The sequence below is a fragment of the Homo sapiens genome, chromosome 8, assembly GCF_000001405.40.
Source record: "Homo sapiens chromosome 8, GRCh38.p14 Primary Assembly".
Classification (NCBI taxonomy): domain Eukaryota; kingdom Metazoa; phylum Chordata; class Mammalia; order Primates; family Hominidae; genus Homo; species Homo sapiens.
In genome coordinates this window covers 141465811-141488892 of record NC_000008.11, presented here as the reverse complement: position 1 = coordinate 141488892, position 23082 = coordinate 141465811, and the positions used below count along the sequence as shown (strand labels likewise).

The 23082-nt window shown below is 52.4% G+C and overlaps 1 non-coding gene across 3 annotated transcripts in view; it reads left to right on the top strand.

Moving 5' to 3' along the window:
• The window catches only part of MROH5 (maestro heat like repeat family member 5 (gene/pseudogene)), a 73405-nt gene that overhangs the window by 18337 nt on the left and 31986 nt on the right, over positions 1-23082 (top strand). The window contains exons 6-19 of one of the 3 annotated variants that reach the window (NR_160399.1): positions 290-342; positions 8445-8552; positions 8867-8983; positions 9567-9686; positions 10128-10274; positions 10995-11117; positions 11411-11490; positions 12746-12968; positions 14666-14761; positions 15939-16043; positions 17702-17837; positions 18130-18296; positions 21345-21494; positions 22330-22484. This is a non-coding gene — a transcript (maestro heat like repeat family member 5 (gene/pseudogene), transcript variant 1, non-coding). 3 annotated transcript variants of the gene reach the window in all.

Here is a 23082-nt window from a genome sequence, read left to right as displayed (position 1 = left end):
TCCCACTCTTGAGAGGCCATGCTTGGCAGCGCCCCTCCATTCACCATGAGTGAGCCCGAGGCCCAGAGAGGGAGCCCAGCCCGCCTGAGGCCACACAGTAAGAGCAGCTGGGCCGCAAGCCCACCCCAGCTCTCTGAACCCAGAGCCAAGCCCGGCTCACATCCCTCCAGCTCCCGCGCCCCACAGAGGTAGGGCAGGCAGAGGCCAGCAGCATCAGCCCGGGCCAGCGCTAAAGGCCGGAAGAGACGGGTGTTAGACAGGGCCCTGTGACCCATCCCTCCTCCCACAGAGGAGCTCTTCAGCCAGGAAGACAAGGCCTGCTGGGAAGAGCAACTGATCCAGGTAGGGAAGGAGCCCAGCTCCCAGCCACCAGACCTTCTGTGGGGGCAACAGGGGAGAGGCAGCAGGATGGGTGCCTGGGAGGAGGGGTAGGGGGAAGGAGGGAGGAGGAAGGGAAGGCAGAGAGAGAGAAAAGGGGAGGGGAGGGAGAAGAGAGGGTAGTGGGGAGACAGGGAGGATGAGAGGAAGGAGGGAATGTCAGGGAGGAAGGAGGGAGGAATGAGAGGGAGGGGGGAAAGGAGGAGGAGGAGGCAAGAAGAGGGGATTGAGGGGGAGGGAGGAAGATGGGGGAACAAGAGGGAGCAGGGAGGGAAGGAGGGAGGGAAGGAGGGAGGGAAGGAGGGAGGGAGGCCCCTACTCTGCAGATGAGCACACAAGTCTGGAAAAGGGAGGGGACTGCAGTCACAGGGCCAGTCACTGCAGCACTGGGATTGGGAAGGGGACCACAGTCACAGGGCCCGTCACTGCAGCACTGGGATTGGGAAGGGGACCGCAGTCACAGGGCCCGTCACTGCAGCACTGGGATTGGGGAGGGGACCACAGTCACAGGGCCCGTCACTGTAGCACTGGGATTGGGAAGGGGACTGCAGCACTGGGATTGGGAAGGGGACTGCAGCACTGGGATTCGGGAGGGGACCACAGTCACAGGGCCTGTCACTGAGGCGGTGGGATTCAAACCTCGGTCTCCACATGCCTGGCACAGAGCACATACGCAACGCACTCAGCCAGAGCTGTCACCCTGGAAGGCAGGAAGCAGGTTGGGGTGAACAGAGGGAGCCCCAGCCAAGAAACAGAGTCCGTGCAGGCCCATCCCTGAACACACACCCGAGTGAGTGAGGGGCTGACATGGCTGAGGGAAGGGACACGAGACCCCCGCCCCCTGGATCCAAGCCCATATTCAACCAATCACCACTCTGTGACCTGGGGGACCCACTTCACCTCTCGGTCCCTTAGTTTCCTCATCTGTCAAATGGGAATCCAAGCACTTCACTCAAATGGTGGGTATGACGAGTATACGAGGTAATCCGTGGAAAGCATCGGGCACCGTGCCAGTGACGCAGGAAACCCTCGCTAATGTCATTATTGTCCTATGGGAAGAGCTGTAGTGGTAGTGACAGGAGCAGCAGCGGTGGCGGCAGGAGAATACTTGGAATGGAATGGTATCCAGTAGAAATAGCACCAGCAGCAACACAAGCAATTGATAGAACAAGAAGACAAAAAGTTACGGAGGATAGAGAAAACTTGAACAATACATTAACCAAATTCGTCTAATAAAGTGCAAACAAAATATTCGCCAGGGGGTTTGGGGGGAAATGGAGATGGTTAATGGGTACAAAAAATAGGAAGGATGAATAAGATCAAGGTGACTATAGTCCATTAGTCAATTGTAGATTTTAAAATAACTGAAAGAGGCTGGGTGTGGTGGCTCACCCCTGTAATCCCAGCACTTTAGGAGGCCAAGACGAGCCCATCACTTGAGGTCAGGAGTTCGAGACCAGCCTGGCCAATATGGCGAAATCCCATCTCTACTAAAAATACAAAATTAGCCCAGCATCATGGCACATGCCTGTAATCCCAGCTACTCGGGAGGCTGATATGGGAGAATCACTTGAAACCAGGAAGCAGAGGTTGCAGTGAGCCAAGACCACGCCACTGCACTCCAGCCTGAGCAATAGAGCAAGACTCCATCTCAAAATAAAATAAAATAACTAAAAGAGGGCCGGGCACAGTGGCTCATGCCTGTAATGCCAGCACTTTGGGAGACTGAGGCCGGTGGATCTCCTGAGGTCAGGAGTTCAAGGCCAGCCTGCCCAACATGACGAAACCCCGTCTCTACTAAAAAGTACAAAAATTAGCTGGGCATGGTGGCATGCACCTGTAGTCCCAGCTACTCGAGAAGCTGAGGCAGAGAACTGCTTGAACCCTGGAGATGGAGGTTGCAATGAGCCGAGATCGTGCCATTGCACTCCAGCCTGGGCAAAAGAGTGAGACGCCGTCTTAAAAAATAATAATAAAATAAAGTAAAAGAGTATAAGTGGATTGTTTGTAACACAAAGGATAAACGCTTGAAGTGACGGATACCTTATTTACCCTAATGTGATTATTGCACATTGTACACCTGTAGCAAAATATCCCATATACCCCATAAATTTATATACGTACTATATACCCACAAAAATTAAAAATATTAAATTTTTTTTTTAATTCACCAAGATAGACCATATGCTGGGCCATATATCAAGTTTCAACAAATTTAAAACAGCTGATATCAAACAGAGTACATTCTCTGATCAAAATACAAATTAGAGTCCAAAATAAAATACATCTGGAGAAACTTCAAATCCTTGGAAATTAAACAACACATTTCTAAATAACCCATCAGTCAAAGAAGAAATCACAAGGAAAATTAGAAAATATTTTGAACTGAATGATAATGAAACGCAACATATGAAAATCAGTGGGATGCGATAAAAAGCAATATTTAGAAGGAAATTTATATTTTAATGCCTACATTAGGAAAGAAGAAAGGTATAAAGTCAATTATCTAAGCCTCTATTTTAAGAAACTAGCCAAAAAATGAGCAGATAATAAACTCAGAGTAAGTAGAAGGAAGGAATAACAAAAACTAGAGCAGAAATCAAAGAAACAAAAAGAGATAAACAGAGAATGACTAGAACCAAAAGATCAATACATTGAGCCAGATGCCATGGCTTATGCCTGTAATGCCAGCTACTCTGGAGGCTGAGGCAGATGGACTGCTTGAGGCCAGGAGTTCAAGACCAACCTGAGCAACGTAGTAAGAACCTGTCTCTAAAAAAATTTATATTAGGGTTGAATATGAGATTTAAGAAAAAAAAAACACTTCTAAAACCTAGCCAGGCATAGTAGCTTATACCTGTAGTCCAGCTACTCATGAGGCTAAAGGCAGAAGGATCACTTCAGCCCAGGAGTTCAAGGCTGCAGTGAGCTGGGATCAAACCACTGCACTACAGCCTGGACAATAGAGCAAGACCAATCTCTATTTAAAAAATGATAAATAAATAAGTAAATTGATAAACCCCCTCACTAGACTGATCAAAAAGAGAGAAAACACAAAATACCAATTTCAGAAAGGAATAAGGAACACTACACATCCCTCAGACATTAAAAATTATAATGAAATATTCAATAAATTAGATAATTTAGATTGAATAGACAAATTCTCTAAAAAACACGTTACCAAACTGACATAAGAAACAAAAAATAAATAGTCCTATATCTATTAAATAAATTGAAATCATAATTTAAAACATTCTCACTAAGAAAACTTCAAGCCCAGACACTTCACTGTGAATTCTATCAAAAAGTTAAAAAAGAAATAGTACTAATTCTATACAAATGTTTTCAAGAAAATAGAGGAGGAAGGAATAACTTCCTAAATCATTTTATGAGGGCTACACAACCCAAAGACATTACAAAAAGAGAAAGAAAACTAAAGACCAATATATTTTATGAAAATAGACTCAAAAATAGTTGTTGTTGTTTTTTTTTGAGACAGAGTATCGCTCTGTTGCTGGAGGCACATGCCAGGCTGCAGTGGCACAATATCGGCTCACTGCAACCTCTGCCTCCCGGGTTCAAGTGATTCTCCTGCCTCAGCCTCCCAAGTAGCTGGGACTACAGGCACATGCCACCACCCCCAGCTAATTTTTGTATTTTTTTCTTTTAAAGTGGAGACAGGGTTTCACCATGTTGGCCAGGATGGTCTCAATCTCTTGACCTCATGATCTGCCTGCCTCAGCCTCCCAAAGTGCTGGGATTACAGGCATGAGCCACCGCCTGCCTGAAAATAGACTCAAAAATCTTAACAATATATTAACAAATTGAATAAAAGGATAATACACCATGATCAAGGAGGGCTTATCCCAGGGACACAAGGTCAATTTAACATTTGAAAAGCAATAAGTGCAATTCAACACATTAACAGAATAAAGTAAAAAAAGTTTGGTCATATTTATAAAAAATCATGTGGAAAAAGCATCTGACAGAATTCAATACCTGTCCATGATAAAAGCTCTCAACAAACTAGGAGTAGAAGGAAACTGCCTCAATGTGACAATGGACATCTAAAGCTACAGTTAACACAATTAATGATCCAAGACCAAACACTTTCCCACTAAGATCAGGAATAAAGCAAAGGTGTCCTTTCTCTCTACTTCCACTCAACATTACACTGAAGTTGCTAGCCAATGCAATAAGGTAAGAAAAAGGAGAAGGGAAAAAAGACAGAGATTGCAATTCAAAAAGTAAAACTATCTCTTTTGTAGACATGTGACTATATACATAGAAAATCTTACAGAATCATATTTAAAATACTAGAACTAATAATTACTAATAGTTGGATGTAGCAAGATCTCAGGATACAAGATCAATATATAAAAATCAATTGAACTTCTATATACTGGTAACAAATAATTAGAAAATAAAATTTTTCTTAAAAAATGACATTTTCAGCAGCATTAAAGATATAAAAGACTCAAAGATAAATGCAACAAAATATATGCAATATTGTTTCAAAGCATTGCAAAGAGAAATTAAAACAACCCTTAAAAAGTGGAGACATACAATGTTTGTGGACAAAATGATTTAATAATGGTAAGATGTCAATTCTCCCAAAATTTATTTGTAGATTGAATGCAATGCCAATCAATCTCAGAAAACTATATTGTAGGATTAAATATAAGCTATAGAATAAATTTTTATAAAGAAATTTTAAAGAACCTAGAATAGCCAAAACAATTATGAAAAAGAAAAAAGTTGCAAGAAATTGGCTACTTGATTTCAAGACTTACTATAGGGCTACAGCAAACAAGACATGAAGCATTGGCATAGGTTAAACAGATAAATCAATTGAACAGAATAGAAAATCCAATATCAAACCATACGTAAACAGTCGATTGATTTTTTTAAAGAAAAATATATCAAAGCAGTTCAATGGGGAAAGTCTTATAAACTATTTCATATATGTAAGAAAAAAAGTGAACTTTAGTGCCTAGTTCAAACCATTCGCAAATATTAATTAGAGATGGAGCCAAAGGCTAAAATGTAAAAGGTAAAACTCAAAAGTGTCTAGAAGAAAACATGGGAGAAAATCTTGCCAGCCTTAGGGTAGCTAGATATTTCTTAGGGCTCAGAAAGTAATCATCATAAAGATTTAAAAAATGATGTTAGATTTCATCAAAATTAAAACGTTTCATCAACTGATAATGCTAAGAAAATGAAAAGGCAAGCCACAGACATGGAGAAAATACTCACAAACTGGAAAAGAGCCTATATCCAGAATAAATAAAGAACTTGTATAACTCAGTAAGCAAAAGACAAAGAGGTCAATTTCTTAAATGAGCAAAAAATCCACAACGCACCTCAGGAAGGAAGACATCTCAATGACCAATAAGCAAGTGAAAAAACGATGAGCGTCGTTAGTCCTCAGGGAAGGCTCAGTTAAAACCACAAGGAGCCGCCTCCGTGTCTCTGCCAAGGGCACACAGGTGAAACAAGGACCACAACAGACATTGGCAAGGACGCGGAGCCAGCAGAACGTTGAGGGCAGGACGGGAAAATGGCGCAACCTCTTTGGAAAACTGACATTTTCTTCTGAAGTTAACATATGACTCAGCAATCCCACTTTTCGGTATTGTACTCAAGAGATGTGAAAACATCCATACACAAAATTACTTCTACAAAAATGGTCATAGCAGCCTTATTCATTCTAGCCTCAAACTGGAAACAACCCAGACGGGCAGGATGCCGCACATCCCCCTGAAAAGATCTAAAGTCAATCATCTAAGTGTCCGTCTCAGGAAACTAGAGAAGGATCAAGTTGAACCTGAACCAGGCAAAGGAAATGAAATAATAAAAGTTAAAATAGAAAAAGAGGAGTGAACTTGCGGCACATGCAACGACATGGATGAATCTCAAAAACATGCTGAGAGAAAAAGTTCCAGACACAGAAGATCACAGACTGCCTGCTTCCAATTACATGCAATTCTAGAAAAGGCCAAACTCATCGGCAGGGAAATCAGAACAGTTTTGTAGTGAGGGAGCTTAACCAGGAAGGGGCATGAGAGAGCTTTTTGGGGTGGTGGCAAATGTTCTATATCCTGAGAGGATGTAAATTACATGGGCTGGATTCATGAGCTCTACAGTAAAGATCTGTGCACTTCATTGTGAGTTAAAATATCTCAATTTTTTAAATACTTAAAACTTTAAAAATTAAAAATTTGGGGAAGAGATGTGCTTCAAAATTCAGAATATTTTAGATTTTTTAAAAAGTAATATGATATACACACTGTATATTCCAAGAACATCCTTAGGAGGGTCTGGGCAGATGTAGAATGAAATAGATTGGCGTCCCTGCTACAGAAGCAAATAGTCACACCAGGTCCCACAAATCGCATCACGTCAGTGCAGCTCAGTGTCTGCTATCCAATCAGAAGCAAATAGTCACACCAGGTCCCACAAATCGCATCACGTCAGTGCAGCTCAGAGTCTGCTATCCAATGAGGTTGCTACAAAGCTATGGGGGAAAAATGTTTAATTTTCTGAGCTTGGGAATTTGAATTTTAGACAAGGAACTGTGGCATTGTTATATGCAGCAGTGAACAAAGACAGTAAAGGTCTGGGGGAGGGGACCTTCTGGGGGACCTCAGGGCTTCCTGGGGGGCTGGGGTTTCATGGACATTCTGCCATCACCTGTTTTGTGGGTGAGACAGCCCCCCAGGTCCCGCTGTACCCCAGTGTTTTACAAATGGCCAGGAGGAGGTCTATCCTGGGCAGACAAGCTCTTCCAGATTCTACCATAAGTGGGGGGGGGATTTCCATTCCAGGGACCAAGGGATCAATTCCAAGGAGGATGCAAATGGTCCCACCTGTGTCTTCTGCCCCACAAGATGTCCCCTCATGCTCATGGCATCACAAATTTAGTATTCCTTTAGGATAAACTTCTAGAAATGGGGTTGCTTAGGGAAATTCTGTATATTTTCAACTTTGATATTGACATTGCCTTTTAATTGAGATTGAAAAAACCTTCCAAAAATGCAGATCCAATCACCCTCCCACCAAAGGACACTTCCTTGCTGATAGTCAGTGTTTGACTGTTTGCCAATCTTAGTCAAAACATTACATTAGTTTTCATTCCTTAAGTATTAGCAAGGTTGAGTTTACAGTGTCTTCATCATGTATGTATCCCTTCATCATTTTACAGTGTCTTGTTTGTCATCTTCTTATCGATTTATAAAGTGCGGGTTGTTGATCTCTGATGTTAACCCTTGGCAATAGGCAGCAACAAAGATAAAACAAAACTTTGCTTCATCTTTCCACTTAATTTATAGTAATTTTGCTGAACCAGCTTTTTTAAATGTTTATCTTCACATTTAGCAATCTTTGCTTTTAAGGTTTTTGGGTTTGGGATCATAATTTTGGAGGTTATCACCCACCCCCAAAGAATCTTGGGATCAAAAACTTTGGAAATATTGAATCACAGAATCTGGGAACACTTGAAATTGAGAAATATTGCAGTCATCGTTATAAAATCACGTGATGTTAGGAACAGAACTTTCAGGACCTTATATTTTGAAGGGACAGTTCATTCATTCATTTGATTTCTCATTTATTGATTTATAAAATTAATGGCCTATCTGCTGTGTGCCGGGTACCATGCAGGGTGCTGGAGATCCAGCTGTGAATAACCAGACGAGGCCCTGCCCTCCTGGCACCCACCGCAGAGGAGCCACCTTCAGCTGACACTCACTAATCATCTGCTATGTTGGAGACTCCTGGGTGGTGCCCAGGACACAGTCAGGACTCCAGTCTCCAGCCTCCTGGTTTCCCAGCCTCACCTTGAACCCCTCTGCAGAAAGAATCTTCGGGAATGAGTTCCCTGTCCCTGAGAACCATAGAACAAAGAAGAGAGCTGGGCGCTGGGGACTCAAAAGAAGGGAGGGACAAGGGGGTGATGGAATCAGGGTTCAGGGTGGCCAGGGTGGGCTGGGGCAGCTAGAATCTCAGGCCCTGCTCTCAGGTAGAGGGACAGACGGCTCCAGCCCCCCATGCCCCTCTGCTGACAGATGGCCATCAAGTCAGTCCCGTTCCTGAGCACGGATGTGTGGTCCAAGGAGCTGCTGTGGACACTCACCACGCCCAGCTGGACCCAACAGGAGCAGTCCCCTGAGAAGGTGAGCCCCACCCTGCCTCCAGGAGCAGCCCCTGCCTGCCCCCTACACAGCCCCAGGGGCTCTGTCCATAGGACACCCAGGGTCCTAGAAAGAAGTTGGTGGACTTGAGGCAGGGGTGGGGCCTGGACAGCAGGACTTGAGCTGCACTCGCTGCAGCCGCAGGCAGAGGCTTGGACAGACCACAGCCGGGTGTTGCGGTGGCTGCAGGGGCCGAGGGAGGCCAAGCCAGTGTGGTCAGGGGCAGCTGCTCAGAGGAGGTGGCAGGCCACCTTGGGGGGGGTCAAGCACAGGATAAGATGCTGCCCTTCCCACAGGCCTTCCTGTTTACCTACTATGGGCTAATCCTTCAAGCTGAAAAAAATGGTGCCACGGTCAGGAGACACCTGCAAGCCCTCCTGGAAACATCCCACCAGTGGCCCAAGCAGAGGGAGGTGAGGACCCAGGCCCCACCCTGTCCCCGCCACCACCTGACCGTGACCACAGGCTGAGCCTGATGGCTGGTCTCACACCATGCCCTAATCCTGACCACAGCCTGAGCCTTCTCCTTCTTCTCACCCCAACCCCTGACCCTGGTCACAAACTAAGTTCTGACCTTGGTCTACAGTTGAACCTTGACGCTGATCACAGGCTAACCCCTGACCCCAGTTACAGCCGTGATCTCAGCCGCAGCGTAGCCCTCCTCCTCCTTCTTAAACACATCTCCTCGTTGCCACTCCGGCACAGCCTGCTCATAGCCGGCAGTGAGGGATAATGGGCCTCCAGGGATTCACCTCTGCCCCCCACGCCCCTCACTCCCCCCACCAGACCCCATAAGCCGGGTGTCCCCTGGCATGGGCTCGGTCACAGGTCCTGACAGAGTGGGGTGGTTGCTGGCTGCCCTGGGGCCCTGGATGAGCCCCAACCCCCTCTGGGGGTCCTGTTCCTCCTCAGTTTTCCCTCCTGCCAGGGGAGGAGCCGGGTCCGGTCCTGGACTTTGGGGTCCCCTGATGAGTGACCCTGATACCCGACCCACAGGGCATGGCTCTGACCTTGGGGCTGGCGGCCACACGCCACCTGGATGACGTCTGGGCCGTCCTGGACCAGTTTGGCAGGAGCAGGCCCATCAGATGGAGTCTCCCCAGCTCCTCCCCAAAGGTACTGGCTCAGGGGTCCTCAGAGACCAGCAGGGGTCTAGGACAGCAAGACCCCCACCATCTGTGAAGGTCAGCCTCTGGGGACTCCTAGGACACTACCCCGTTCACCCACCCCATTCAGGTGGGTGTGGGAGGGGCCCCCACAAGGAGGGGAAGGCAAGGGGCCTGGACCCCAGCCAGCTCCAGCAGAGACGAGCGCCCCACACACACCCCACCCTAACACCCCACCCAAACCATGGCCCTAACAAGGCCCCAGCCATCCCCCAAAGAGCCAGTCCTAGTCCCCTTGTTTTCCGACTGAGGAGATGGAGGCTCACTGCCCCTCAGGACAGACACCTGCCCCCAGGGCCCTGCTAGAGCCAGGCAACCACCTCCACAGCTCCCCAGAGGAGGGTAGGGCGGGGTGCTGACACTCCTCACCTGCCTGCCACCCCTGGGCCAGAACTCGGAGGACCTGCGCTGGAAATGGGCCAGCAGCACCATCCTCCTGGCATACGGCCAGGTGGCAGCCAAAGCCCGGGCCCACATCCTCCCGTGGGTGGACAACATCGTGTCCAGGATGGTCTTCTACTTCCACTACAGCTCTTGGGTAGGCCTCTGGCTGCCCCTGCAACATCCCAACACCTGCCCCTCCCCACCAAGACCGAGTCCCGGACCCCAGCCCAGAGCCGCCCCACCGGCCTCTCAGAGCAGAGAATTCCAGGACCTCCCAGGGCCTTGGAGCCCACCCCCATGCCCCACCCCACCCTGGAATCATGAGGAACCAGGCCCAGCTTTCTGGTGGCCCAAGATTTCGTCCGTCCATCCCACCGAAAGTTCGCTGGGCTTCATGATGCCTCTACCCTCACTTCTCCTCTTAAAGCAAACCCTGGGTTTCACTTTGCGGGTGGGGGACATGGGTACGGAGAGGCCAGGCTGACGTCCATCGTGTTATGATGACAAGCCCCTGACTCCACACCTCACACCAGTGGCCTCCAGCCCAGGTCACTGTGAGGGGCCCCGCAGGGCTGCCCCCACCCCAAAGTAGCCACATCGCTGCCCCGGGTCGCTGCTGCTGTGGCCCTGGGGCATGGGGTTGCCACATCTCAAGAGACTTACAGGCACTGTCCCAGTGTTTAAACGTTGTAAATTACAGTTTTAAAACCATGCAGCCCCACCCCTTAAGAAGCCCCCCAGGTGCGGCCTCGGTGGGTGGTCTCTGCTGTCCCCTTTCAGCCATGACCCTGCTGCCCCTTGGATCACAGCCTCACGCTCTTGCTCCCACTGCACACTCCCGCGCCCTGGGCCCTGACCCTGTCCCCCGTTGCAGGACGAGACCCTGAAGCAGAGCTTCCTCACAGCCACCCTGATGCTGATGGGTGCGGTGAGCCGGAGTGAGGGCGCCCACAGCTACGAGTTCTTCCAGACCTCTGAGCTCCTCCAGTGTCTGATGGTGTGTTCCAGGCCCTGGGTGAGGCGGGCAGCCTCCCTCAGTTTACTCCCTGCGGAAGGAGTGGGGTGGGTTTCTAGGGCATGTCCTAACCTGACTCCAGTGGCTTTGCTCTGGTGCTCTGCCCTCCTGGTGGGGCAGCTCACAGAGGCCTCTCTGGGCGGGTGAAGGGCCAGAGCGTAATCCTGCGGTTCTCGGGGATGCTGGGCACTGAGGTCTTCCCAGGGTGGGGAGACCTGGCGTCGGAAGGGGGACAGGCCAGGCCTGAGCGGCTTGGTGCCACCTGGGACTTGCAGGTTTTGATGGAGAAGGAGCCCCAGGACACTCTGTGCACGCGGAGTCGCCAGCAGGCCATGCACATCGCGTCCAGCCTCTGGTAGGCCCCCCGCCTCACACAGGGCTTCCTCAGTGCCACGCAGCAGCCTCTCCACTTGGGTTTGGAGCTGGCAGGCAGCAAGGTGGAGAGGTCAGAAATGGAGCACCATTCTGTGTGCCAGGCACCATTCTGGGGTCTGAGGACCCAGCTGTGGGACAGCAGGGAACATTCCTGTTCTCCAAGAGCTGACCCTTGGGGGATGGGGACAGACCATGAACAAACCACACATCTCAGTGACAGCTGACACTGCTGCCTGAAGGCAGATGGAGCTGGGGGAGCGAGGTGGAGGGGAGGTAAGATCTTCATGGGTTGAGGGCTACAGGAGACCCTGCAAGGAGAATTGATTAACTGAATATTGGTGGACTGGGCACCCACCACTGGCCCCAAGCTCTTCTAGGCTCCAGGATACAGCCTGAGGCTGGGTTAGTCGGCCCTAAAAGGGGACTTTTGGGCAAAGACCTGAAAGGGTGAGAGAGTAGCCCTGCAGTTTCCAGCTGAAGGGACAGCGGGTGCAAAGGCCCCGAGGCTGGCGTGCAGCAGGGTTGCTGGAGGACCCGCAGAGGGCCAGGGTGGCAGGACTGGAATGCCTGAGGGCCCCGGGAGCCACGGGGAAGGTCGTCCAGGCTACTGCAGGGCACTGGCTCTTGCCTGAGCGAGGTGGGGCCTTGGGGGAGTCACACTTGAGAAGGAATGTCTGGATCCAGTGTGGGGAGTAGATGGAGCTTCCAAGAAAAAATGGGGGACCAGTCAGGACTCCCTAGAACAATCCAGGAGAAAAGTAACAAGTGTTCTGATTAAGAGTAAGAAGTCCTTAAATGTCGAATAAATTGTGATGGTAGAGCTGTCAGGAGCTGCTGGAGGGCTGGACGCAGCTTTCGAGGGAGGGAAAAGAATGGAGAAGGTGCTGAGGCTTCGCCCAAGCAACAAGGAGGACGGCACTGCAGTCCACTGTGATGGGGCGGGCTGCAGGTGCAGCTACCCTGGGGGAATGCATCAAGATGGAGATGCTCCTTAGACAGCATCAGGGTGGCATTTAAAGCCAGGGACTGAGAGGAGAGATGGACCAGGACATCACCTGGCCAGGATGCCCCAGCTCAAGGCCCTGCAGAGGCAGGTGGGCCAGGGAGGCAGATGTGTGCACAAGAGTCTCTGTGAACAGCAGAAGGCCTGAAGTCTGCAGGGATGAAGGCAGACGCCACTCAGGGACCTCCCCAGGCCCCAGCCCCATGCTAATGGCCCTCTGTCTTCCCAACAGCAAGCTGAGGCCTCCCATAGACTTGGAAAGGAAGTCTCAGCTCCTGTCCACCTGCTTCCGCAGCGTGTTTGCCCTGCCACTGCTGGATGCCCTGGAGAAGCACACCTGCCTCTTTCTGGAGCCTCCCAACATCCAGCTGTGGCCCGTGGCTCGGGAGCGGGCAGGCTGGACGCACCAGGGCTGGGGACCCAGGGCAGTTCTTCACTGCTCTGAGCACCTACAGGTTTGCTGTGTGCTATATGCTGCAGTGTGTTTGCCCACCTGTAAAATGGGGGTGATACTAACAGGGCCAATGGTACTTAACACTTGGCGACTGAACTGAGACACTGGGTGAGCAGTGGCGTGGAGGAGCACCCTGTAAACAGTGGCGCGTGTGGCCTCCCTCCCTCCCTGCCAGTCCTGAGAGCCAGCGGGAAGAGGCTGGCAAGCCGGTGCTGCCCAGCCCTGCAGGCCTTGGCCGCCATGCTATGTGGCAGGGTCAGGTCTGAGTTTTCGCTGAGCTCCCCAGCAGCCCAAGGGAAGCGGAGAGGAGGGGAGATGAGTTCCCCAACCTTGTAGGGATCCCTGCAACACCTGGAGTGAGTCACCTTCCCTGCAGGGTGGGCTCAGTCTCACCACACAGCTACTCAGAGGTGGTGCCGTGCCCAGGCCGTGCCCAGCCCACCCTGCCACCCCAGGAGGCTGGGGGAAGGAACTCCAGGATTGCTCTCAGCACTTGGCCAGTGCCCACCCCTTCCTGGGTTCTGTTCAGTAAAAGCCACCCCTGCAGAGAGATGCCTGCCATTGCTCATGGCCACCACTGGGTACATGAGTGGCTCCTGGGCACAGTCACCGTGCCTGGCTTCGGGTGTGTCTGCGGTCCTCGGCCTGTGGCCAGAGCCAGTGTTAACTGAGCCCCTGCTAGGTGCCAGGCCCTAGATCAGTTATCTCACCTTCCCAGCAGCGGCCCCAGGGTAAAGAAATGCTCAGAGAAATGAGGCTGTCTGGTGGGAGAGGCAGGGTTTGAACCCCGACCCTACCCCCCAAGGGTGAGTCCAGGCTGGAACTAGACAGACAGACACTTAGGGTGAGGTGGTGAGAGAACGAAGGTGTCCCGGGACCAGGGCAACACAGCCCTCCAGAAGGGTGGCCCCTGGCCACACCCCAATCCCACCACAGTTCAGAATGACCCCGTTACCTGATGACACGGTGACACTGAGGCTGGCTCACCCAGGGAGTGCCACCTGGTGTCTGGGGGTCCGGCGCTGGGAGCTGGGAGCACTGAGCTGGGGTTCCTGTTGACTCCAATCCCCTGCCTGCCTCCATTCTGGCAGGTGGGGCTGACTTCATGCCATTCTCAGGTGAGGAAAGTAAGCTCAGAGAGTCAAAGTAAGTCTCCCCAGGGCACCTACTGAGTGACCAGAGCCCCAGGGCTCTGCTCCTGGTGGGCCCTTGAAGGGAGGGTAGCTGGGGGCATTTCTCTGGTCCTCTCCTTCCCTGAACGTGCCCAGTAAGCAAAGCAGTGAAGATTAGGAGCATGGCATGTAAGACCCAGAACTCAGCCCACTGCATCATTGGCAGGGCCTGGGCAAAATGAAGATGCCAGCCCCTGCTTCAAACCTAAGAACCTCCAGAGCATTCACCCAGCGCAGGGCCCTTTTCAGCCCGGGACCCTGGGACCACTCAGGGCACCCTCCTGTGAAGCTAGCCCTGCTAGGAATGAACTCGTCCGGGCCACTGAGATACCTGTGCCCTTGGGTGATCACCAGAGGCCTCCCCACCCAGTCCCCACATCTGCCAAATGGGGGCCATGGCGGCCCCCTCGCAGGCATGGTGGCAAGCCCCAGTGGTGAGCAGCCCGGCACATGCAGGAAGTAGGCGCTCCTCAAGCCCTGCGTCCACTGGGCGTGGCACTGCCTGACCACCCTTGTCTCTACACAGAGCCTGTACAGCAGGACCATGGAGGCGCTGGACTTCATGCTGCAAAGCCTCATCATGCAGAACCCCACCGCCGACGAGCTGCATTTCCTGCTGTCGGTGAGGCTGCAGGGAGGCCAGTCGGCTGGGGCCGAGGGGTCCTCAGCCTATGGCCAGACTCCAAAGGAGGGCATCTCAGAGGAGACAAGGCGGGACCTGGGGGCTTCGAGTGGTCCAGGAACCAGGAGGGGTGAGGGCCACCCGCACTTAGGGATCACAGTGGTTTGGGGCACTGGGGAGGGAGAGACAGCAGGTGGCCTGGTAGAAAGAGGGCTGATAGGCCAGGCACAGTGGCCCACGCCTGTAATCTCAACACTTTGGGAGGCCAAGGCGGGTGGACCACTTGAGGTCAGGAGTTCGAGACCAGCCTGGCTAACATGGTAAAACCCCATCTCTACTAAAAATAAAAAAAAAAAAAAAAAAATTAGTCAGGCATGGTGGTGGGCACCTATAATCCCAGCTACTCAGGAGGCTGAGGCAAGAGAATCGCTTGAACCCGGGGGATGGAGGTTGCAGTGAGCTGAGATCTCACCACTTCACTGCAGCCCGGGCAAAAGAGAGAAACTCTGTCTCAAAAAAAAAAGAAAGAAAGAGGGCTGATGAGGGTCCCGCCCTCCCCTCCTAGAGAACTTCCCCTGCAGTGTCCCCTGAAGGGTCTCCCAAACCCGCTGCCCCCACTCCCCCCCGCCCTTCCTCACCTTGTCAGGAGAGAGACCAGAGCAGGCAATGACAGTCCCGGGGCAGGCGGAAGCCCAGGGAGGGGAGGCTGGCTCTGGCTCAGAGGTCAAGCCCAGCGGGACTTCTCGCAGCCCCGGCTGAGGACTAAGGCAGCCACAGGCAGAGAAGGGAAGGGAGGGGCCCAGCAGGCAGACGGCACGCAGGGCAAAGGTGAGCAGTGCAGAGGAGCCCAGCGCGTCTTGGGGAAGTCACAGATGTGTTTCTGGGACACCACTGGGTCACAGAATCTCCAAATACCATGTACCCTCATCCTACTTCAGAGCCACTAATTATATATCTAATCATATATCAGATTTGGCTTAAAAACTATTTGACGTACCAGTCTCCAGATGGCTTTGTAAGTGCAGCAGGCAGAGCCTGGCCGAGGATGGATGGGGCCTTGGGGCGGGGGGGGGCGGGGGGGGGGGGTCAAAGCCGGTGGGCGGGGCCTGGGCCGAGTGGGCGGGGCCTGGGCCGAGGGCCCCTTAGAATCCTCTCCCTGACCCTGCCCGCCCCACAGCACCTGTACATCTGGCTGGCGTCGGAGAAGGCGCATGAGCGGCAGCGGGCTGTGCACAGCTGCATGATCCTCCTCAAATTCCTGAACCACAATGGCTACTTGGACGTGAGTACGCGGTTCGCCGGTCCCACGTCCCGCACCCGCTCTGCCGGCTGGGCCTCCTGCCCTGGATCGCAAGGGCCCAGCCAGAGCCGCCCTCCTCCCAGATCCTCCCAGGGTTCATAGGGTTCAAGGCCCCCTGGACACCCGCCTCCAGGACAGAGTGGATCCCTGAATACCCGACAGCACAGCCGGGCTCCATATTGACTGGCGGCCCAGGCAATCTCCTTGCAACTGAGGGAACAGGCAGGGAGGGGCAGGACCTGCCCGAGGCCTCACAGCTGGGATCTGAAGGCAGGTCACCCTGAACCCTGACCCCTGACCCTGGAGCTAAGCACCTGTCTATGCACCTGAGGCCTTGTACAGGTGTTTCTCCTCAACGAGCCCCAGCTTTTCACCTGTAAAGTGAATGGAAATGACCCCTCCCTAGAGCGATATGGTGGAGCTCAGATGGGGCGGAGGCCGTGAGAAGGCTGGTAAACTGTACGGCCCTGCGCCTGATTAGGGGTTCCTTGCTGCATGGAGTGGCCACCCCACCACCCTTCCGCCAGTGCAGCCCCTATCATGACATGGCTCACAGCCCTCATCTGTCGCTACTGCCCTTGAGTTGCATCAGCACATTGTCAGAGAGTGCGCTTCCGCGAGTATGAGCCCAAACCCGCATTAACTCCCTAGGCATACTCAGGGGGATGGGGAAATAAGTTCCTTGCCCTAATGCCTGGTGGCTGCCTGATCTAATGAGGGCAGGAGGCAGAAGTGCTGGAAGGAGGGGGGACTGTTCTGCCAAGGGAAAGACCCTGCACCCCTAGGAGGAGGAGGACAATTAAAGTGGCTTCAATTTACTCAAAATCCATTTCAACATCAGAGGACCGGACCAGGGTAAGGCAAGCAAGATACTCACCTTGCGCACAAAATTTACCGCAAAACAAAAAACTCTGTAATCAAGATGATTCATGTTTTCATGTAATGTTTTTAAAACTCAATTTGGCAAGCTATGGCCCATGGGCTGACCACCTGCTTTTGTAAATAAAGTTTTATTAAACCAGGACCAGGATGAGGGTAGGACAGGTGAGGTGACATGCAAAACCAGGGTCAGATCCTGACTTTACTTACAGTTTTGAGATTTTGCTCACCACAGAGTTTTTTGCACTTATTCTGATTTTTCTAAATAGTGCATTAAAATATTACTTTTCTTTTTTTTTTTTTTCTTTTTTTTGAGACGGAGTCTCGCTCTGTCGCCCAGGCTGGAGTGCAGTGGCGTGATTTCGGCTCACTGCAACCTCTGCCTCCCGGGTTCATGCCATTCTCCTGCCTCAGCCTCCCGAGTAGCTGGGACTACAGGCACCCGCTACCACACCCAGCTAATTTTTGGTATTTTTAGTAGAGCCAGGGTTTCACCGTGTTAGCCAGGATGGTCTCGATCTCCTGACCTCGTGATCTGCCCGCCTTGGCCTCCCAAAGTGCTGGGATTACAGGCGTGAGCCACCGCGCCCGGCCACCTAAAATATTACTTTTCTTGATTACTGAATGTTTTGCCCAGCCCCCAGTCCCAGCCCTGCCACACCTTTGGAGGGTCACCTCTGATGTAGGCCGTGCTGGGTGAGTGTGTGGCAGGGCTCTGCAGGGAGGTTCTGCCATCAGTGATTCCCGTAATCTTAACACAGCCAAAAGAGGACTTCAAAAGGATTGGGCAATTGGTGGGCATACTGGGGATGCTGTGCCAGGACCCAGACAGGGCCACCCAGCGCTGCAGCCTGGAAGGGGCAAGCCATCTCTACCAGCTCTTGATGTGCCACAAAAGTGAGTTCTGTGAGTTCTGAGCACCAACTTCCACCCCAGCTACAACCTCTGGCAGACCCACACCCGCACCCCTGACCTCAACCTTGCCCCAAATTTACCCCCAGACCCAACCTGGATCTGAGCCATAACCCTGTAATGGCCTCACCCTGACCCCCACCACTCTGATCCCAGTCCCCAAATTGGGCACAGGCCTGACCCTGATTACAAATGACCCTACCCTAACCCTGCCCTGTCCCAAACTAGACCCCAAGACCACCTTCGCCCTGCCCTCACCCACCCTGCCCCTGGCCAGCAGGAGAAGCTTTGCAGGCAGAATCACAGGCCCCCAAGGAGCTCTCCCAGGCCCATTCGGACGGAGCCCCACTCTGGAACAGCAGAGACCAGAAGGCCACTCCCCTGGGCCCCCAGGAGATGGCAAAGAACCACATCTTCCAGCTCTGCAGCTTCCAAGTCATCAAGGTCAAAGTCCTTAGAGTGGAGGGCAGGGCAGGGGCGTGACCAGAGCACACGACATATCTGGGGAGTGGGGAGTGGTGGGTAAATGCGCTCGCTCACTCTCTCTCATGTTGTTGAAGTGGAGCCAGGAAGGTTTGGGGAGCCAGCACACATTAGATGCCTACTTATTACCTATGCCAGGGGCTTCACAGACATTACCACATCCCTTCCTCAAGTTTTATAAACTGAATTGAACCAAATGATGAAGAAATGATGGCACAGGGCTGGTCAGTGCCCCACTGGAATTTGATCCGGCCCCAGCTACTCCAGAACCCGTGCTCTCAGCAACTGTTGCAAGCCATTGGTGTGCTGAGGCCAGTTAGAAGTTTAGTGTGGAAAACCTAAAGCCCTAGGGCCAACTCACTGTTTGTGTCCAGAAGGAAGAATACCTTACTTGGCTGCAGTTTACCCTGCAGAACCTGCCCTGAAGGCAGAGGCAGGGCCGGGAAGGAAGAGTTTCACTGAAGGGACAGCTGCTTCACCCCATGTGGTCCCTGCACACAGACCATGGGTGTCCAGCTCTGGCTCTCCCCAGACAGATGGGAGCAGTAGGATGGTGCGGATGGGAGGGTCTGCTAATCACAGAACCATCATAGAACCACAGGGCTGAGAAGGTTCCAGCTGGAAAACAGATACTTTGGGCCTAGGTTCTGGTCCCAAGTTTGCCCCTAACTCCTCATGTAGTCTTGGATACATGACATCTTTATCACCACCCCCACTGTCATCATCACCACCAGCATTATCACCACGATCATGATCACTGTCACTGTCACCACTACCACCATTATCACCACCATCACCATCACAGCCACCACCACCAGCATCACTATCACCATCATCACTACCACCACCATCACTACAAGCATCATCACCACCACTACCACCGCCACCACCACCAGCATCATCATCACCACCATCACCACCATCTCCATCACCACCAACATCATCACCACCATCATGATCACTGTCACCACCAACATTATCACCACCATCATCACCACCATCGCTATCATCACCACCACCACCATTAGTACCATCACCGCCCCCACAGTCATCACCACCAGCAACATCACCACCATCATGGTCACTGTCACCACCACCAACATTATCACCACCACCACCACCATTGCTATCACCATAAGCATCATCAACATCACTATCATCACCACCACCACCATTAGTACCATCACCACCCCCACAGTCATCACCACCAACATCATCACCACCATCATGATCACTGTAATCATCAACACCACCATCATGGTCACTGTCACCACCACCAACATTATCACCACCATCACCACCACCATCACTATCACCATAAGCATCATCACCATCACCATCATGATCACTATCACTGTCACCACCACCATCACCATAACCACCATTGCCACGACCACCACATCACCATGACTACAACCACCATCACCATCTGCATTACTATGACCCTGCACCACCATCATTATCACCACCACCACCACTTCTACCATCACTGCCACCTTTATCTCACATTTATTCCTGCCCTTGATTGAAGGGAGATGGCTCCAAAGTCTTTACCAATCCTGAGATTGTAGTATTCTGAGAATCTAACCACCATTCCAAGTTGAATTTCTTCACAAACATTCTAAATGCTAGCTTTAAGCAAAAGTTTAACATTCTAGCCAATGATTTTATTCCTCTAACAAATATTCTAGCCAGATGTGTAACATAATATTCTTTTAAAAAGTTCTTACCACAAATCTTCCACTAAAATTATTTTAACATTCTAACCATTGTGCTAATACTCTAACATTCTCACAAACACTGTATCAAAATTTTAGAATTAAAAGATTCTAATAAATATTCTAACATCCATTATTTAACACTTAATTTGATATTCTAATATACTTAGAAATGTCCTAACAGATTGCAGGCACTCCAACAAATATCCTAACATGCAAAGAAGCATTTTGCCATCCTGACATCCTTGCAAATGCCCTAATTTTCTGTCAGGCTGCTCTCCTATCCCTCCTTTAGCTTCTAACTTCCTTCGGTTCAATGCTGTGTGTCCCCACTGTGCAGAGAACCCTCTGGGAGGATGGGCGTGTTCTATCTCTGTGCTACCCAAGGTAGCCACTGGCCACAGGGAGCCATGGAGCACTTGAAATGTGGCTAGTGCTACTGCAGAACTGAATTTTTAATTGTACTTAAATTGAAATATAAATAGCTGTGTATAGCTAGTGGTACAATGCCTAAAGTCTTTCCAGAAAGTTCTACCTTTGCAGCAGTGACTGAGGCCCAGTCCCCCCTCCAGGAGGCTATAGTCTGAGGCTATGAGGCGGGGGTAACACCCATCATCTTGCATTTCTCTAGAACCCCTTCCTTACCCCTGAGCTCACGGCTGCTTGCAGAGGCGAGACCCACCTTCCTGGACCTTTAAAGCCACTCCTAGGAGGAGATGGACAGAGGGTGTCAGGGTCCTGGGACAGTGCTGCCTGTCCTGGGACAGGAGCTGGGTCCTGGCTGCACCCACCCTGACCTGCTCCAAGGCTGATGGCAGCCTACACACCCTTCTGGGACTGGGGGTTGGCCCAGGTGACCTCGAAGCTCCTTCACAGCCAGGAAGTTCACTTTCTCTTTGATAAATGCTCATAAGGAGGACTGGAGCCTGGCAGGGAGACACCCCACAGGGCTGAGGCTGGCAGATGAGGAAGCCCTATGGGCAGAGGACAGCAGAGGAGGGGAGAGGGGAGGCTGGCCTGGCCACCCAGTCCTAAGACAAGCACGGAGTGTCAGCGTGGGAAAGAGCTGGGGCCGTGGTTGGCTCTGACAGATGTGGACGTGCGCAAGTCTAGACTGCAAATCACTGACGGGTGCTTGGAACCCAGAGGAGTGGGGCTTAGGAGGCCAGATATGCTCAGAGACTTGCAAGATCCTGGGACAAAGGAGAAGGGGTAAAAGCAGAAGTGGGGAGGCGGACGCCCAGGCCCAGGGGGCCCAAGGTGATGGCCTCTCTCCACCCCCGCTGTACAGGATATCATGCAGCAGCTCACACTGGCAGAGTTGAGCGACCTCATCTGGACGGCCATCGACGGCCTGGGCTCCACCAGCCCCTTCCGCGTGCAGGCAGCCTCCGAGATGCTGCTCACAGCCGTCCAGGAGCACGGGGCCAAGCTGGAGATCGTGAGGGCGCTGGGGCTGGGCCAGGAAGGGCCAGGAAGGGCCAGGGGGCGGAGGGCGGGCCCAGCAGTCAGCATCCAGGGCTCAGGTCCTTGAGCCTGATGGGGGAGACACAGATCCCACCCTAGGAAGCAACTAGTCTGATGGTTTTGAATGAGCGAATGAATGAATGAATGAATGGCCCAAGCAAGTCCCCTGGGTCCTGGGTGGTGACTGCGGGGTCTGAGCAGCCTCTGTGTGCGGAATGGTGGGAAAGGAAGGGGACAGCACAGACCAGCCCCTCGAGGAGCTTGAGGTCTCGGGGAAAACGGACACACAGGCAGATGTTGCCTGGACAGCGTATGGGGATATGATGTGGGGGAGGAGGACCCTGCAGGGAGGTGAGGGGTGCACCCCAGAGAGAGGATGCCCAGTGCCAAGTCCTGCAAGTGGGTGAGCTCAGACAGGGAGACTGGCACTGGGCATTAGGGATGAGCAGGAGAGACCCCAAGGAGAAGGCAGGGTGCCCCAGGCACAGGGCACCCCATGTGCAAAGTGGCATGTTTAAGAATGAGATGGGAGGCAGGGGGCCTGGACCTTCCAGTGTCTACCTGGGCAGTGTGGACAGCATACAAAGACCTCAAATGCCATGCAGAACATGGCAGGACCTGTCCCCCCAAGACTGGGACTTCTCTTCAGACCAAGCATCCGGGGCAGGGCTGTGGCCCGCCACCCAGATGGCTCAGGACAGGGCCATATCTGAAGGGGCTCTGTGCTCATCAGGGTGAGACCTCCCTCTGCCTTCAGGCTCCCAGGGCAGGGCTGGGCCTCCCTGCCAGACCTCTCCCTCTCTGCACAGGTTTCCAGCATGGCCCAGGCCATCCGCCTCCGCCTGTGCTCTGTCCACATCCCGCAAGCCAAGGAAAAGACCCTGCACGCCATCACCCTGCTGGCCCGGAGCCACACCTGTGAGCTGGTGGCCACCTTCCTGAACATCTCCATCCCCTTGGACAGGTGCCTGCCCCTCTTGCCTCACTGCCCACTCCCCATCCTCTCCCCAGGCAGGGGTGGTGACCTCTGCCCTCCTGTCTGCCCCCGCCATGGCCCACAGGGACTTCTATAGGGCTGGGTGCTTGGAGGGAGCCCACATCTGTTCATCATTGCATACCTCCTGGGCGGGCACATGGGAGGCACTGCTCACTGTCTCCTGTCCTGGCTCCACATGAAACACCTGCCCCAGCCAGGCCACACTGTCACCTGATGGAGAGGCCACAGGACCCTGGGTGCTCCTGGCAAGACCCCAGCCCACACTGAAGCCTCGCCGCCCAGCAGCAAACCCCTCTGTCTCTTCTCATCTACAAACACTCTATTCTCCTTCCTGCCCCTCTACAGACCACCCCACTATATCCGCCAGAGGCCATCAAAGCCCTCTCAGGTGGGGCTGGCTTTTCTCTCACAGCCCTCAGACCCCTGGGCCTAGAGATGGGCTAGGGTCCTTGTCACTGCTCATGGCCCTTCCTTCCCAAAGTCCCAGCTCTGCCTCCCAAGTCCTCAGTCCATACCCCCTGCCACCTACCTACCATGCACCTGTCCTGGATGGCCCCTCGCTCCA